The sequence below is a fragment of the Homo sapiens genome, chromosome 7 (assembly GCF_000001405.40).
Source record: "Homo sapiens chromosome 7, GRCh38.p14 Primary Assembly".
NCBI classification, from domain to species: Eukaryota; Metazoa; Chordata; class Mammalia; order Primates; family Hominidae; genus Homo; species Homo sapiens.
Genome location: NC_000007.14, coordinates 63899898 through 63917008, shown reverse-complemented (window position 1 = coordinate 63917008; position 17111 = coordinate 63899898). Strand labels below are relative to the sequence as shown.

General features: G+C 41.0%; 1 long non-coding RNA gene and 1 pseudogene across 9 annotated transcripts in view; one reads left to right on the top strand and one right to left on the bottom strand.

The window, feature by feature from the left end:
• Positions 1-17111, bottom strand: part of LINC02848 (long intergenic non-protein coding RNA 2848) — a 25305-nt gene extending 8194 nt beyond the window's left edge. For 5 of the 9 annotated variants that reach the window (NR_186798.1, NR_186797.1, NR_186800.1 and 2 more), the window contains exons 1-3: positions 15971-16169; positions 12271-12397; positions 2792-2885 (exon numbers count right to left, since the gene is read on the bottom strand). This is a non-coding gene — a long non-coding RNA (long intergenic non-protein coding RNA 2848). Of the gene's footprint in view, positions 1-2791; positions 2886-12270; positions 12398-13418; positions 13488-15970; positions 16381-16563; positions 16781-17009 lie in introns of those variants that run through there. The other 4 variants (NR_186803.1, NR_186804.1, NR_186805.1 and 1 more) reach the window with 4 other exon arrangements.
• Positions 6448-8644, top strand: NMD3P1 (NMD3 ribosome export adaptor pseudogene 1; annotated as a pseudogene).

Below are 17111 nucleotides of genomic sequence, written 5' to 3'. Positions count from 1 at the left end.
AGGCAGAGTTTGTGGCGAGTTGAGGTCGCGCCATTGCACTCCAGCCTGGGCAGCAAGAGTGAAACTCCATCTCAAAAAAAAAGAAAAGAAAAGAAAAGAAAAGAAGAAATCCCAGGAAGACCCTCAGTATTCACCCTTGTTTGACCTTCAAACTCTGTATCAGCAGAAAGTAAGGCAAGAACCAAGTTGTAAATTTCTGGCTGATTAGTAAAGGCATGCTCCAGCACGCACACACACACACACACACACACACACACACACACACACACCCAAAAGAGAACATTATAAAATTTATTTGGAGGAAGTGGGGAAATAACAAACATTTAAGAAAATCTCTGCAAATCAGTAGCTTACTACCAAGCTAATGGAACAGAGATGTCAATGTACATGCATGACAGAGCACACGTCGCAATAGGTAGCAACAAAAACACAGAAGAAGGATGATAATCTGATTTCAAAATTACTATAATATTCGAAATGTCTTTTTTCAACAAAAAGTTACACGATATGTAGGTATATATTATTTGTTGGTTACGCTTGAATTTGTAGTTTCCATTTTGATTTCCAAGCTGAAAAATATATTTTCTATCTGCAAATTTTCTAGCTGTAGGATTTCTGCTTCTATTAAATTAGTGAGTCTTTTGGAGCCTAAAATTTTGCAATTTTCAATGATTTTTTTCTTTAGTATTTGAAAATGTTGTATATTCTGCTTACTTGGTTCATTTAATAATTTTTTTCTAAGACCACAAAAATATTCTTTTTGTTTTTTAATACATCATAATTTATACTTAAAATTTGGTTTCACCACCTGTACAAAATAGGTTTGTTACATGGCTAGTAATGTAATTTTTTCCAGTAAGTTAAGAAAATTTAATTTATTCTGAAAATCTTGTCTTAGGGTTATTTTTATTTGCCATCACTTGTCATTGCCTCGCCCAGATTAACACCACCTCACACTCAGAGCTGACTTTTTTGTGAAGACTGTGTGTGATTCTTTCCATTTCTTTCTGCATTTTTCAGTTTTTAGCAATCTCACAACACCAAACAGCCAAAGTAGTGCTGGTGTTAAAAAAATCTTCAGTAGACTTTTTTATTGCTCAAAGGATAAATTACTTCCACATTTTATTTTATTAATTTAAAAATGTTAACTGACAAGTGAGGCTTGAGTATTTTCAAGGTGTGCAATGCGATGACTTGATACATGCACACATTGTCTAATCACTTTCACAATCAGTTAAATTAACATAATTCCTATTGTTCAAATATTTGTGTCCCTCCCAAATTTACTTTAAAACTTAATCCTCAATACAATAGTATTAGACTTTAGTTGGTTGCTAGGGCATGAAAAATCTGCCCTTAACAATGCAATTAGCTGTCATTGTAAAACGGCTTGAGAAAATGAGTTTGGCCTATTTTGTCCTTCTGCTGTGTGAGGACACAGCAATTTAAGGTGCCATCTTGAAACCAGAGACTGGACCCTCACCAGACACCTAGACTGCTGGTGCCTTGAGCTTGGACTTCTCAGCCTCCATAACTGTGAGAACTCAGTTTATACTGCTTATAAATTATCTATTCTAAGGTATTTTATTACAGCAGTTGGAACAGACTAAGATAACATTCAGTAACATCCATGCTGTGCAGTAGACCACTAGAACTTGTTTATTTTATACCTGAAAGTTTGCACTTTTTATTAACAACCCCCCATTTCTCCCACCCACCAGCTCCTGGAAACCACTTTGTACTCTCTGTTTCTATGACTTTAACTTTCTAGGCTTCATATATAACTGAAATCAAACAATATTTCTCATTCTCTGTCTGGCTTATTTCACTCAGCCTACTCTTCTCCAGGTTCATTCATATAGTTGTAAATAACAGGATTTTCTTTTTATGGCTGAATAATATTCCATTATATAAATACTCCACAATTATTTTATCCATTCATTTATTAATACTTAGGTTGTTTGCACATCTGTCATTGTAAATAATTCTGCAATAAATATGGGAGCACAGATGTCTCTTCTAGATACTAGTTTTATTTCCTTTGGTTATATATCTGGAAGTGGATTTGCTGGATAATGTGGTATTGTAAGTTTTTAGAAAGCTCCACAATGCTTTTGATAATGGTTTTACCAATATTTCTGTATTTTTAACAAAATGGGCCGGGCACAGTGGCTCACGCCTGTAATCCCAGCACTTTGGGAGGCAGGCGCGGGCGGATCACAAGGTCAGGAGATTGAGACCATCCTGGACAACATGGTGAAACGCTGTCTCTACTAAAAATACAAAAAATTAGCCAAGCATGGTGGCACGCACTTGTAGTCCCAACTACTCGAGTGGCTGAGATAGAAGAATCACTTGAACCCCGGAGGTGGAGGTTACAGTGAGCCAAGATCACACCACTGTACTCCATCCTGGAGTTTTTTCTCAGAAAAAAAAAAAAAAAAAAAAAAAAAAAAAAGCTGTACTCTGTTGGGAGACAATTTTCATAGTCCTGTCAGTTTACTTTTTAACATCCTATATAAGCTTCTATTTGGACAATCTTTTCGATCCATAGGGGTGAAAACTATTGAAGGCTCCAATGCCAAACCATGGCCTTTCCTCAGTGTTGTAAGGCCTATGCCAAGGAGAAAGGAAGGTCATGCCTTTGGGTGCCCCAGGCACACACCTTTCTGAAATCTTTCTCCAGCCAGCTGCTGCAGACAAAAGATGACATTTCTGGGAAGATGAGGACTTGTTTCCAGACCAGCACCCCAGTGGCCATGAGGTCTTATGGCCCAAAGGCTATGCTTACCTCCACCTGAGTGCCTGGGATGGGCCCTTTCTGCGTCTCCCCAAGGCTTGGGTGCTGAGCCTGCCTTCCTCACCACCTAACCATAGTCTCAAACCTGTGAGGAAGGAAGAGGACAGATAACTGATTTCTGTTCTTTTGATTCTGTTTTAAAGTTTTCTTTCTAAAAAAAAAAAAACCTATCTGAAACTGGAAAAAAAAAAAAAACAAGGAAAAAAAGATGTCATAACCAAAGTAGGGGCAGTATTTACATAGGTGAAAACACGTAGATATGTCTATAGGCAACAGACATGTGGCTAATTTACATATAAATTAAACATCTTATTGTCTTAAAGTGTACAGAGCTAAAAAATTATTCAATTCATAATATCAAGCGTTAAATGCAAAAATACAATGAACTGATCTGAGAAATCATACCCCCCCAAAAACACAATAAATATAGAATTGAAAATAAGAGAGATTTTAATGCATAAAATGCTGAATACAACATAGATATACTATGAAAAATAATTCTTTAGATATCTGCAGTTTTTAACTGTGTGTACTCATGAAGAGAAGACATTGTGAATCATTGCTATTCAATGAAGAACAGTAAAACTTCATAGAAAATACATTACAATCATTAATAATAGACTAATGAGAAAATTTTCAAATAAGCATTAAAGAGACAGTAGGAGAAGTTTTTATCATGTTCTCAATATATTGGTGGTATTCTTACACAGATATACTGTCTATAATATGGCCTTTGGGAGCTAATAAAAACTTTATATTTTTAAAATACAAGAACAACATAAATTTTGCAAAACACAATCAGCATTACTGAAGTATAAAGTAAATATTTCAGTTATTTATTTATTTATTTACTTTTTGAGACAGGGTCTCACTCTGTCACCTAGAGTGCAGTGACACCATCTTGACTCACCACAACCTTTGCCTCCCAGGCTCAAGCAATTCTCCTATCTCAGCCTCCTGAGTAGCTGGGATTACAGTTGCCCACCACTACCACTTGGCATTTTTTTTTCTTTTTTGGTAGAGATGGGGTTTCACCATGTTGCCCAAGCTGGTCTTGAACTCCTGACCTCAAATGATCCACCTGCCTCGGCCTCCCAAAATGCTGGGATTACAGGGGTGAGCCATGGTGCCTGGCTTTAAAGTAAATATTTGGAATTAAAATATACTGGCATTTAGAAACAGATTGAAAATGAATATAAATTTTAATGATTTCTTTTTGCTTTCAGTGAGCTTAAAATTATAATGAAATATTTTAATAAATATGTGGGCACCTACTGGTAATTTAATTTACATCTTACATAATGTGTAACTTTTGAATCTAAAAGTCAGAAACAACATTCATTTCAGAAAGTGAAGTGTATAGGAGAGTAACATAAGCAAGATGATGGAACAGGAGGTCCTGCAGGCATATCCCACAACAGAATGTGGAAGCCATGCCAAACAAAACTGCATTTATAAGAGCCTTGGGATCCAGGTCAGTTTGTGACAGCTGGAGGCAAAGACCAAGGGGAACAATTTGAGAGAGTAAGCCCTTGGCCAAGTGGCGTGCTTGCCAATCATGGTCCCAGCTCCAAAACAAAATACTGCCACATCCCACTGTAGATTTAGCTATAGCTCACTAGGCCTTGGTCCTGCCACTGCAACCATCTGCCAAAAACCCAGGAGAATTGATACTCACCTGAGACTTAGGTGACAGGCCTGCAAAACTTGGTTCTGTCTGTAGTCCCTGAATCAGACAAAACTCACCTTCTTTACTTCTCAGGCATGGTCAGGGAGAAATCTTGTCCACACAGGGACCCTCAGGGAAAAACATCCATCTATTTCCTTGGATGTAGGACAATCAATATTGAACTGAATGTGGATCATGAAATGGTTGGGCTGGGCACAGTGGCTTAAACCTGTAATCCCAGCACTTTGGGAGGCTGAGGTGGGTGGATCACCTGAGGTCAGGAGTTCGACCAGCCTAACCAATATGGTCAAACTCTGTGTCTACTAAAAATACAAAAAATTAGCCAGGGTGGTGGCGGGCACCTGCAGTCCAAGATACTCGGGAGGCTGAGACAGGAGAATCACTTGAACCCAGGAGGCAGAGTTTGCAGTGAGCCGAAATCCCACCACTGCACTGCAGCCTGAGTAACAGAGCAAGACTGTCAAAAAAAAAAAAAAAAAAAAAAAAAAAAAAAGAAAGAAAAAGAAAAGAAAAGAAAACAGAAACGGCGCTGGGCTCTAGTTTCATGCAGGCACAGTTCAAAAGCAGTTTTGCTCAACCTGAGATTTGCCTAAAATCATAAATCAGTGCCCCTCTAGGCAGGCCTGCTGACATCAGTCTCACTGTGAATCTTAAAGCAGCCCTGTAACCCAGTTCTAATCCCAGTCAGCCAGTGTCTGGGAGCAGTCCTACCCACCCAGAAACCTGGAGGGAAATACACCATGGACCCAGAGACAGAACTGAAGAATTTAGCCTCACTCGTGTATCCTGAAGCAGCCCTATAAATTAGTTCCCATGGCTCTCAGCTTTGATTAGGGGTCAGTACTGCCCATCCAGTAAGCTGTCTAATAACTGGATTAGCGCACTCCCAGAGACCTAGTGGGAGCCACACCTGTCTACATCTATTCTACCAGCACCCCATATGCAGAAACAACTGCAATTTCTTATCTCAGCACTAGTCCTGATAATCGATATTCTAAAGAAGGTTGACTCTTGGCCGGGCGCGGTGGCTCACGCCTGTAATCCCAGCACTTTGGGAGGCCGAGGCGGGCGGATCACGAGGTCAGGAGATCAAGACCATCTTGGCTAACACGGTGAAACCCCTTCTCTACTAAAAATACAAAAAATTAGCCGGGCGCGGTGGCGGGCGCCTGTAGTCCTAGCTACTCAGGAGGCTGAGGCAGGAGAATGGCGTGAACCTGGAGGCGGAGCTTGCAGTGAGCCGAGATAGTGCCATTGCACTCCAGCCTGGGCAAAAGAGCGAGACTCCGTCTCAAAAAAAAAAAGAAAGTTGACTCTTCCAGGGAACAGACAGAATTTATAACTGTCTTATGTGTTAATAACGGGTCTGCCAACCACGAAACCCACTAAAGACCAAGTAGCAATTATGTGACCTGGCTCCAACAAACTCAACTGCAATGTCAATTAAAATCTCATCAGCCCAGGGACCCAATAGGAGAAAGTATTTATCTTTCAAAACTCTCCTATGATTAGTGGAAGATGTGTTTACTCCTTCATATTCAGGGACACAGACATAAGCCTGCACAGATCTTAAAGAATCTGAAAATCATGAACATCACCCAAAGAAACTAATAAAGCTCTAGTAAAAATCTGCAAAGAAATGGAGATCTCAGAATTGGCCAACATAGAATTAAAAATAATCATCAAGAGATTTCAATAAAATCCAAAAGAACACCAATAGATAACTAAAAATGTTATGAAATGACACAGAAACAAAATGAGAATTATAATAAATAGGCTGATCATGTTGGCTTACACCTGTGCTAACTGCAATTTGGGAGGCTGAGGCTGGAGAATTGCTTGGGACCAAGAGTTTAAGACCAACCTGGCCAATAGAGCAAGACCCCACCTATATTTAAAAAATTATTTTAATAGATAAATAGAAACCATAAAAAACAACCACTTCGTGAGATCTTCGCTGTGGTGAAGATGGCCATGGTGGCAGCTGACAGGACAGCCGGGGTCTATTTTGTTGCAGGTTTTCAGCAAATCCAGGGCTGGTCTGGAGGTGTGAAGCATACAGAACAATGGAGTATATGACAGAATCGACTGACCGCAGCCCTGGACTCATCCTGTGCTGTGAGTGTGGTATTGCAATAAGTCCCAATCCTGCCAATATTTGTGTGGCCTGTTTGCAAAGTAAAGTGGGCATCAGCCAAGATATTCCAAAACAAGTCTCACTTTTGTTCTACAAACAATGTCAAAGGTATTTTCAGCCACCAGGAACTTGGATACGGTGTGCTTTAGAATCCAGGGAACTTCTTGCTTTGTGTTCAAAGCCCCTCTGAGTAAGGAACGGCTTGTGAATGCAGGCTTTGTTTGGACTGAGCCCCATTCTAAGAGATTTAAAGTTAAACTGACTCCAGAAAGAGGTGATGAATGGTGCTGTCCTTCAACAAGTGTTTGTGGTGGATTATGCTGTTCAGTCCCAAATATGTGGAGATTGCCATAGAGTAGAAGCTAAGGGTTTCTGGAGGGCTGTGATTCAAGTGAGGCAAAAGACTTTGCACAAAAAAGCTTTCTACTATCTGGAACAGTTAATTCTGAAATATGGAAGGCATCAGAATACACTTCGTATCAAAGAGATTCATGATGGTCTGGATTTTTATTATTCCTCAAAACCACATGCTCAGAAGATGGTCGAATTTATTCAGTATACAGTTCCCTGTAGATACAACGCATCCCAAAGACTGATCTCTCAGGATGTCCATAGTAATACATACAATTACAAAAGCACTTTTTCTGTGGAAATTGTTCCAATATGCCAGGATTATGTTGTCTGTCTGTCTCCAAAACTGACACAAAGCCTGGGAAATATGAACCAGATTTGTGTGTGTATTCGAATAACCAGTGCCATTCACCTCATTGATCCAAACACCCTACAAGTTGCAGATATTGATGGCAGCACTTTCTGGAGTCACTCTTTCAGTAGTTTATGTCACCCCAAACAGCTAGAGGAATTTATTGTGATGAAATGCAGCATAGTCCGAAATATAAAACACGGTGCAGATGCTGGAATGATATCAAAAAAGCATACCCTCAGGGAAGTCTGGGTACAGAAGACATCTGAAATGAATACAGATAAACAGTATTTTTGTCATACTCATTTGGGACATCTTCTAAATCCTGGAGAGCTGGTGTTAGGGTTTGATTTGGCCAGCTGCAATTTAAATGATGAGCATGGCAACAAAATGAACTCAGATAGAGTTCCAGATGTGGTATTAATCAAGAAGAACTAAGACTGGACCAAACATCAGTGATGTAGAAACTGGAAACTGAAAGAGCTTGCAGGAGAGAGAACATGGATACAGATGATGAAAGGCAATACCAAGATTTTCTTGAAGATCTTGAAGAAGATGAGGCAATTAGAAAAAATGTCAACATTTACAGAGAGTCAACCATCCCTGTGGAAAGTGATGATGATGAAGGAGCACCTGGAATTAGTCTGGCTGAGATGCCTGAAGACTTTCATATTTCCCACGATGCCACTGGTGAAGAAGGTGCGTCAATGATGATATAATGAGATGTTGTAGACTGTTTCCACATATGTGGGCTTAAGAAGTTGGAAAAAATGACCTTAAGTGTCTCTTCCATCTATGCCTCCAGATTTCAAGAGGAGAAATTAAGTTTTAAACCTGAATAAACATGATTGTTTTGATTACTCACTCAAAGCACTGAAAAAGATGGATGGCTTTGAAGTTTTAGATAATAAACGATTATGGAGAATGTAATTATTATTGATATTTAGGCTATTTTACATGTGAAATTTTATCACTGTGCTTTTTTATATGAGGCACTATAGTATTTTCACATAGTATACTACCCTGGATGTAAAAGCTCAAAAATTGTGATTCCTTGGACATTCACTAAATCTTCAAGCAAAAACACATTTTTACATTCTTTTTACATTGATTAGTGAAAGACCATATGAAAAATCATTTTTAATATTGTTAATATTGTTACATACTTTGATCCACTTTACATCATTTTTATGTTCTTGAGGGAGGGAAATTAGGGCTCAGTTTATCACTGGATATTCAGGAGGCAAGTCAATCTTTTTTATTTCCTTATAAAATTAACATCTTCAAAAGCTGTTAAACAGAGGGTTATCTTAATTTTTATTGCAGTAGAGGAAATATATTTAAAATATTTGTAGATTTGTAGCAAATAGATACTCATTATTTAAAGGTTAAATAACAATTTTTTCTTTTGTTATTTTTGCCAGTTTAAGGCAGTAGCTGTGTATGTCATATAAATGTCTTCCTACCACATCAAAAATGTTGCTTTTAAAATTTTTGTTTAAAATTGAGAAGGAAGGAATTTTCTCTCTGTAAGTTTCTATCATTGAACACGCCACCATCAAAAAGAATATTAGAATCTAGCATGAAGATAATGACTAATAAAAATGAGGTACATACTTTATAAAACCATAAATCAGATTTGAATGAGGAATGCTTTCCACATCCTTGAAAGAAAAACTGTGTCTTGGGTTTTAAAGTGTTCTGAGAATGAATTATTAAGATCCTATTTCTATAAGCAAGATCAGACTTACTAAGTATGGCACAACTAAGAGCTCATTCATTCATTCTATGTGTGCCACTAAATAAAGAGATTGAGCAAGTAAAAAAAAAATCAAACAGAAATCCTGGAACTGAAATAAACAGTGGCAGAACTGAAAAAATATAATAGAAATGTTTAACAGGAGAATCAATAATAAAGAAGAAAAATTCAGCAAACTCAAAGACAGGCTATTTACAAGTAACCAACCATAAAGTGAACAAATATACACATTTCAGAAATTTCAGAAAAAGAGAGAAAGAGGAACAGAGATTTAAATATATAATGTCTTAAAACTTTCTGAATCTAGAAAAGAATATGAACATCAAGTTTTATGAAGCTCCAAATATCTTCAGCAAGAAGAACCTAATAAAGATTGCCCTTGGACACATTATGATTGTCAAAATACAAAGATAAAGCACAAATCTTGAAAACAGCAAGAGATAAATTCTTCACATAGAAGGAAACCTTTATAATGGTATCAGTGGATTTTTCAGCAGAAGCTTTGCAAGCAAACTTGGAGACCATATATTCAAAATGCTGAAAGGAGGAAAAAAACTGACAATTAAGAAGAGTTTATCCAACAAGGCTGTTCTTTAGAAATAATAGAGGTCAAGACATTCCAACATTTCAAGACAAAAAAGAAGGTGAGGGAATTTATCACACCTCAACCTGTTCTGCAAGAAATGCTAAAAGGAAGTCTTTATATTGATATGACCGAATACTAATAATATGAAAAATATTAAAGTATAAATGTCAGTGAAAATGGTAAATACATAGTAAAATTTAGAATACTCTAATACTGTAGTGGTTTTGCATAAGTCACTTTGAACTTTAGTACAAAATGTATAAAAAAATTAAAAATAAAATAGCTACAATAATTTGTTAATGGACACACAATAAAAAATTGTAAAGTGTGACATATATAGTATAAAATGTGTGAAAGGGAGAAAATGTGTAAAGTTTTTCTACACATAGAAGTTAAATTGTCATCATCTCAAACAAGATTGTTAAGATACAACATGTTTTATATAAGTCTCATGATAACCACTAGGAAAAAAAACTTTAGTAGATACACAGAAGAAAAAGAAAAAGTAATTAAAGCATATAAAAACAACAAAAATGAAAAAAAATTTAAGTTTGGGTGGTGGCTCATGCCTGTAATCCCAGCACTTTGGGAGGCCAAGGTGGGAGAACTGTATGAACGTAGGAATTGGAAACTAGCCTGGGCCACAGAGTGAGACCATGCCTCTACCAAACAATAAAACATTGGCTGCGCGTGGTAGCATGGCCTGTGAAACAATAAATAAACATGAAATTCTAACTACCACAAACTAAGCTACAATATTTATGTCATCACAAAATAATAGTCAATTTATTTCAGCCCAAAAGAAATAACCAAGAATTGATTTCAAAATCAGTTCAGAGCTTTGCCTTCTCTGTATGGTGGAAGAGCAAGAAACAGACTCCCTCTGGCACCAAACACATAGGAAGCCAGACCAACCACATGAACCAGATGTTTCCAAACACTAGAAGCATCTGCAAGGAGCACAGGACTGAGGTCTGGAGGCTGAAAGCAAGAGAGGGGACCGCGTTGCTGCCCCAGCTTAGAGCCTGCAGAGCCTCCTGGCAGTGCATGGTGGGAAGATATAAGAAAAGCATGGAAGTCCACATGTTAAGGAGATAGGGTTGAGAATGTGAGGAGAGAAAAACATGGGGCTGAGTACCAGAAAGTAGGGAGGAGGGGCTGAAGTACGGTACAATTGGAGAGTAGAAGACAGGGGCTCATTGAACCATTGGCAGGTATATGGGTAAATACCAATCAAGATAAAGAATGTTAGGTACTACAAAAGGAAAAGGCACCCTACACTTTTTTTTTTTTTTTTTTGAGATAGAGTCTTGCTCAGTCTCGGCTCACTGCAACCTCCACCTCCTGGGTTCAAGTGATTCTCCTGCTTCAGCCTCCTGAATAGCTGGCATTACAGGCACACACCACCATGCCTGGCTAATTTTTGTATTTTTAGTACAGATGGGGTTTCACCATGTCAGTCAGGCTGGTCTCAAACTCCTGACCTCGTGATCTGCCTCCCTCGGCCTCCCAAAGTGCTGGAATTACAGGTGTGAGCCACTGCACCCAGCCCACCCTACATTTTTTTCAGAGCATTTTCACAAGAAAACTTGTCATTATGAGTTTAATATTGTCCAAAAGTAGAAGAAGAGAGAACATTTCCCAATATATTTTAGGAAGCTAGTATTACTCTCCAATAGAATCAGGGAAAGACAGTACCAAAAAAACCCTGTCTAACAGTATGCCTCATGAAACTCGATGTGGAAATCCCCAACAAAACATTATTCAACAGAACCACATGCTTCACCCATGGGTGAATTTCTTCTAGTAAGGGAGGAGACCACCCCTCATATTGTCTCATGCCCAATTTCTGCCTCCAAAGAAGAAGTAAAAACTAAAAGGCAGAAATGAAATCCACAAGCAGACAGCCCGGCACCACACCCTGGGCCTGGTAGTTTAAGTTCGACCCCTGACCTAATCGGTTATGTTATCTATAGATCACAGACATTGTCATTGTATAGAAAGCACTGTGAAAATCCCTGTCCTGTTTTGTTGTGATCTAATTACCAGTGCATGCAGCCCCCAGTCACGTACCCCCTGCTTGCTCAATCAATCACAACTCTTTTAAGCAGACCCCCTTAGAGTTGTGAGCCCTTAAAAGGGACAGGAATTGCTCACTCGGGGAGCTCGGCTCTTGAGACAGGAGTCTTGCCGATGCTCCCAGCCAAATAAACCACTTCCTTCTTTAACTTGGTGTCTGAGGGGTTTTGTCTGTGGCTTGTCCTGCTACACTAGGAATCATAAAGATGTGGGGAAATCAAAGGAAATCTTTTATTAAGAATTAAAGTTGTAGACTCCTATCTTGAGTTGATTACTTTGAATTTTTGTCCCAAAATACATACAGGACCAGGTCTAATTCTATGATCTTTATCACATGCAGCCAGATGCTGAAGAGAAATAGATACAACAGCGATATGGGAGTTATCCTCTCTAAAGCCCAACTGAAAAAACCCAGAGTCAGAAATTTTACAAACAGAAAAACAACATACTTATTCTGAACCAGGGAAGGAGAGGTAATTTGAACATTTAAATTTAAATTGCTATGAGAATACTGACTTGTTAGAAACTGAAGGAGTGAGCAGTGCTTCTAAACTCCACGCTTTTCCATCAGAATACAGAGATAGACAACCTCAAAGTGCAGTTTCTTCACAATTGTCTTCATCCAGTCATAACATTAATTTCTCTATGAATCAAATCATAAAATAAATATTAAACTCATGACATATTCTCCGACTAAGAGGCAGCAAGATAAACTGAACAGTTAGTTATCAGTGTAATAAATTATGTACAAGAATCTTATCACTGCATTTTTTAACAATGATGAAACTAGAAATAATCTAAGTTTCTATCAAAGAATAAACAGTGAAACAAGTCTTGTATACCCATTCTTTGGAATATATTTAAGACATTAAAAATAGAGGCCAGGTGCTGTGGCTCACGCCTGTAATCTCAACACTATGGGAGGCCGAGACGAGAGGATCACTTGACGTCAAGAGTTCGAGATAGCCTGACCAACATGGTGAAACCCTGTCTCTACTAAAAATACAAAAATTAGCCAGGCCTGGTGGCACATGCCTGTAATCCCAGCTACTTGGGAGGCTGAGGCAGGAGAATCACTTGAATCCAGGAGGTGGAGGTTGCAGTGAGCCGAAATCGTGCTATTGCACTCCAGCCTGGGTGACAGAGCAAGATTCCATCTCAAAAAAAAAATAGAATCTCATGCACTGATATGGAATAGTGTAAATGATATATTGCTTGTGAAATAGCAAAATAAAACACAATATAGTATGATATAATGTGTTCAAAAACTGTACAGGTATGTATCTCCTTTTTTTAAAAAAATTTTTTGGAGGCAGGGTCTCACTCTGTCGCCCAGATGGCAGTGCAATGGCATAATCACAACTCACCACAGCCTCAACTTCCTGAGCTCAACGGATTATCCCCACTCAGCTTCCCAAAGTGTTGGGATTACAGGCGAGAGCCACTGCAACTGGCCAACTTTATATGTATTTATAAATTTATAGAAAACATCCAGAAAAATAAACACCAAGCTATAATAATTCCTTCTAAGAAGAGAGTGAGTTTGGAACAAAGAGGAAGACATGGGAGATTTTCACTACATAAAGATCTCTATGATCTGATATTCTTAAAACAGTATGCATTTCTTTTATAATTAGAAAAAGGAAAAATGTAAGCGTTGTTACCATTTGGTAGGAGGGCAATAGTTTTATTTTCATCAGTATTTGTATTGCATGTTAGTGCACAGCACAAATCTAGAAGAGAAAGCCCAGAGGAATAATTAGAAGAAAAAAAATCACACCTAAAAAAGTGAGAGGTAGTTATCTTTACATAACAACAAGCGTTCCAGGTGAGGGCTTTACATAACAAGTGTTCCAGGTAAGGTACCGCTGCTCCAGCTCCCTCAAATCACCTATGCTCTGCCAAGGGGAAGGTGGAGGACAGGGAAGGCCAAGTCCCAGTGAGTGCTCTCCCCCAAAAAGGCCTGTTTCTGCAAATTTCCTGTTATTAAGAAAATGGAGTCCTAATGAGATGTGGACCCCTTTGGGATGCTGGCAGAGAAACAAAGTAGAATATGCCATGATCATGCCCTAGAGGAAGACTTCTAGGTTGAGACTTGAAATTCATCAAAAGCTTGTGTGAAGTAAATAAAGCTACTCTACCTCTCTGAGTGTCAGTTTCCACACCTATAAAATGGGGATTGCATGCCAACATCATCGAGTTGTTGCCAGAGTTAAATTCACAAAGATATTTAAAAGTGACTGTTACTGCTAGGGTCCACATTTTTTTTTTATTTAAAAAAAAAACAGCATCGGACTTCAAAATACACAAAAGTAACAATGTCCATGTGTCCAAAGACGAGATGATCAGCTTTCTAATAAGCCTGAAGCGCATAAGAACGAGATCTATCCCTAACTAGAACTCTTCACAGCTCCACTTAAGAGGACACAAGCAGGGCTCCAAGAAGCTAAGTGCACGGCCAGTGTAGAGTGACTGGTGTAGTGAGGGTAGAATCTCTTAAGACCCTCTGAAATGCAGTTACATAACAGGGTCCCAGGACACTGGAGCAAACCAGGCAGCTGAGCAGTTACTACCAGGAATGGCAGAGCAGAGGAGGGTCGGAGCCATAAATCTCAGCAGAATACACCAAACTGCAAAGAGCTCCTGGCTCTGTGAACAGCAGCTGTGGCTACATCAGGACCAATCTTCTAAGACAGCTGCTGGGGACAGCTGAGATCACGTGTTTTGGCAGCAACACACCCAACAGCAGTGCCTCTTGAACACAGACCACAAAATCCTCTCCATTTATCTTTAAGGTGATGGATGATGGATGCCCTCACGTTACAACATCCCCACCAACACTTGCGGACAAGTGTATTTAGAAACTTCCACCTAAAGACGGAACACTCAGGAGTGGAATGAGAATATTGGGGGATGGGGGAGAAACGCAGGTACTTGACCCCACAGACTCTATTGAAAACAAGAGAAGAACCGCTGCGCTGTGGCTCTTCCTCATCTCACCACATCCATAGACACCACATGGTTCTTGTTCCTTTATTGACAAAGGTGCTGATGAGCCCGTGTGCAATTAATCCTGAAGGAGTAAATTCTTCACAAAGTACAATAACAGTGTCTAATATCCATGACCAGGGTTTTTAGGGTTTTTTTTTATGGTAATCCACATTCAGGAATCACAAATGAAGCCTGTTGGAACGTGCGATACGAACAAGGTCTTATTTTCATGTAGATGAACACCTTGGTTTTTACGGATTAGACATAAAAAGCATAAAAGCTGGCGCCATTCCAGAATCAAAGGGACTGTCCCTGGGGACATATGGAAATTAGGGACATCAATTACACGAAACTAGAAGTGATCCCAGAAGTTCCCATTGTCTAGACAGAAAAGGTCAACAGATCAGCCCGAGAGAGTAAAGGTACCTCCGGGAGTGCCGGGGGGTGATGAGCTTTCCATTCAAAGCAAAGATGTGAAGCCTGAGGAGTTACAAAGACTCCCCAAATGGTCCACACCTTGAAAGTCGCTCCCACAAAGCTGGAGCACCACCTGTTCCTGAGGATCAGGCTGCCATCTGTGTTTGAGACACTGGCCAGTCAGACATTTGTTGAGATGAGGCCAATGATATCACGTGTAAAATACCTAAACCATCCTAATCTTTAGGTAGCTATTTGGGGGACTTTCTACCAAATGGGTTGGTGAAAAATGGCGCACCAGAGACACACGCCTGGGAACTGAAATTTTCTCCTCTGCTTTTAGCATCTCCTGGGTAAGCCAATAATGGCCCTCCCTGCCCCCTCAATATCCACATCCGCGAAAAAGTCGCTGGTGAGGGTGACATTTTCACGAAGCCACAGCCCATGTCACCCCGTGCAAAGCTCTGAACTTGTGCACTGGCGGGCCAGGCGGCGGATTTCTCCCCACAGCGGCGGAACTGCGCTCTGGCTGGAGAGAAAAGAGGGCAGCGGCACAATGGACAGCGCCTGGACCTCAGGCCAGTTCCCACAGCAGCTTAGGAAAGCCGGTGGCTCCCTGGGCTGCAGGAGGCGCGATGGCCAGGAAAGACCCTGGGTACAGGTGGGAGAGGGAACCCAGCTGAGCAGCGGGAAGTGGGGTGAGGACTACACCCGTCCCAGTTTGACAAGGGCGAGGTGTACATCGCGGCGTCACGCCCTCCTCACTGCCCAGCCCGGACCTGCCCCTCCTGTCCCTCTCCGGACTCACTTTCTTTGGCAAGGAAGTGCACGCGATCAGTAGCCAGCATCGTTGTGGAAGCGGCGAGGTCCACATTGCCGTGTCCAACCCTCCTGGGCTGCCCGCCTCCTCGCATGTCGCCTGCTGGGATTCCAGTCCAGCCGCCTTGCCACCAACGGGCGGGGGACCGTTAAGAGCTACTGTTTCCAGCCTGCCTAGCCAGGCTCTCACCGCCCCGCTCCTCCCACGAGAACTGCGCCCCGTCCCCGAGCCCGGGTCATGCTGGGATTGTAGTCCCGAAGTGCCTGAAACAACGGGCGGGAGCAGTGAAGAGACTACAACTCCCAGCATGCACAGCGAGGTCAACACAGCCCGGCTTTCCTCTTCAGGACTGTGCGCCGCCCCATGTTCATGCTGGCTGTGATTGTAATCCGGTCGCCCTGCAATTAAAAAACTGGAAGCTAATCAAAGACGACAACTCCCAGTATGCCAGGTGTAGCTCCCACCCACTAATCCACACCTCCCCGCGTCCAGAGCAGTACTGCCATGTCAAGGGGAGCCTGGCTGTTCCCAAACCTCTCCTGCCTGCCAGGCGACAGTGGGACCAGGGCGGTTGGTCCTACCTTGTAATTATGTCACTACCTCTTCCTAAGATGCTGGCTTCATGCTTCGTCAGTGCCTGAAGTTTGATTTCTCACGGAGCGGCAGGGGACCGGGGGCTGCTCACAAACCTGTCAGGGTTGCCATAGTAACGCTACTCTTCCTGTAGCTGGACTCGCCCCACCCTTTCTCGCACGCTTCTTCCCTTGGCCCGGCCTCTCCCCTCAGCACCGCCCCTTCTCCCCCGCCTCTTTTATTGGCACCGCCCCTCATCCTCGCTCCGCCCCTGACACGCCCCTTCGGACAAGCGGCAGTGTAGTCCCTGCGTAGGAATGGGGTTAATGGCCAGATGTCTGACACTTCTCGGACTTTTTGTGATCCCACGCGGGAAGCTCCCTCCTGAGTGTCTGAAATTGTCAGTTCACTGCCAGAAATGGATATAAGCGATCCCTGATAACTTGGCACTTGCCTTTTCAAAGCCGCCGTTTCCTCCATCCTCTGGGTTGTCACAAATCCTCCTTTGCAGCACCGCAGGAGTGCCCCTTGGACCCCGAGCTGGCTGCAAGGCCCA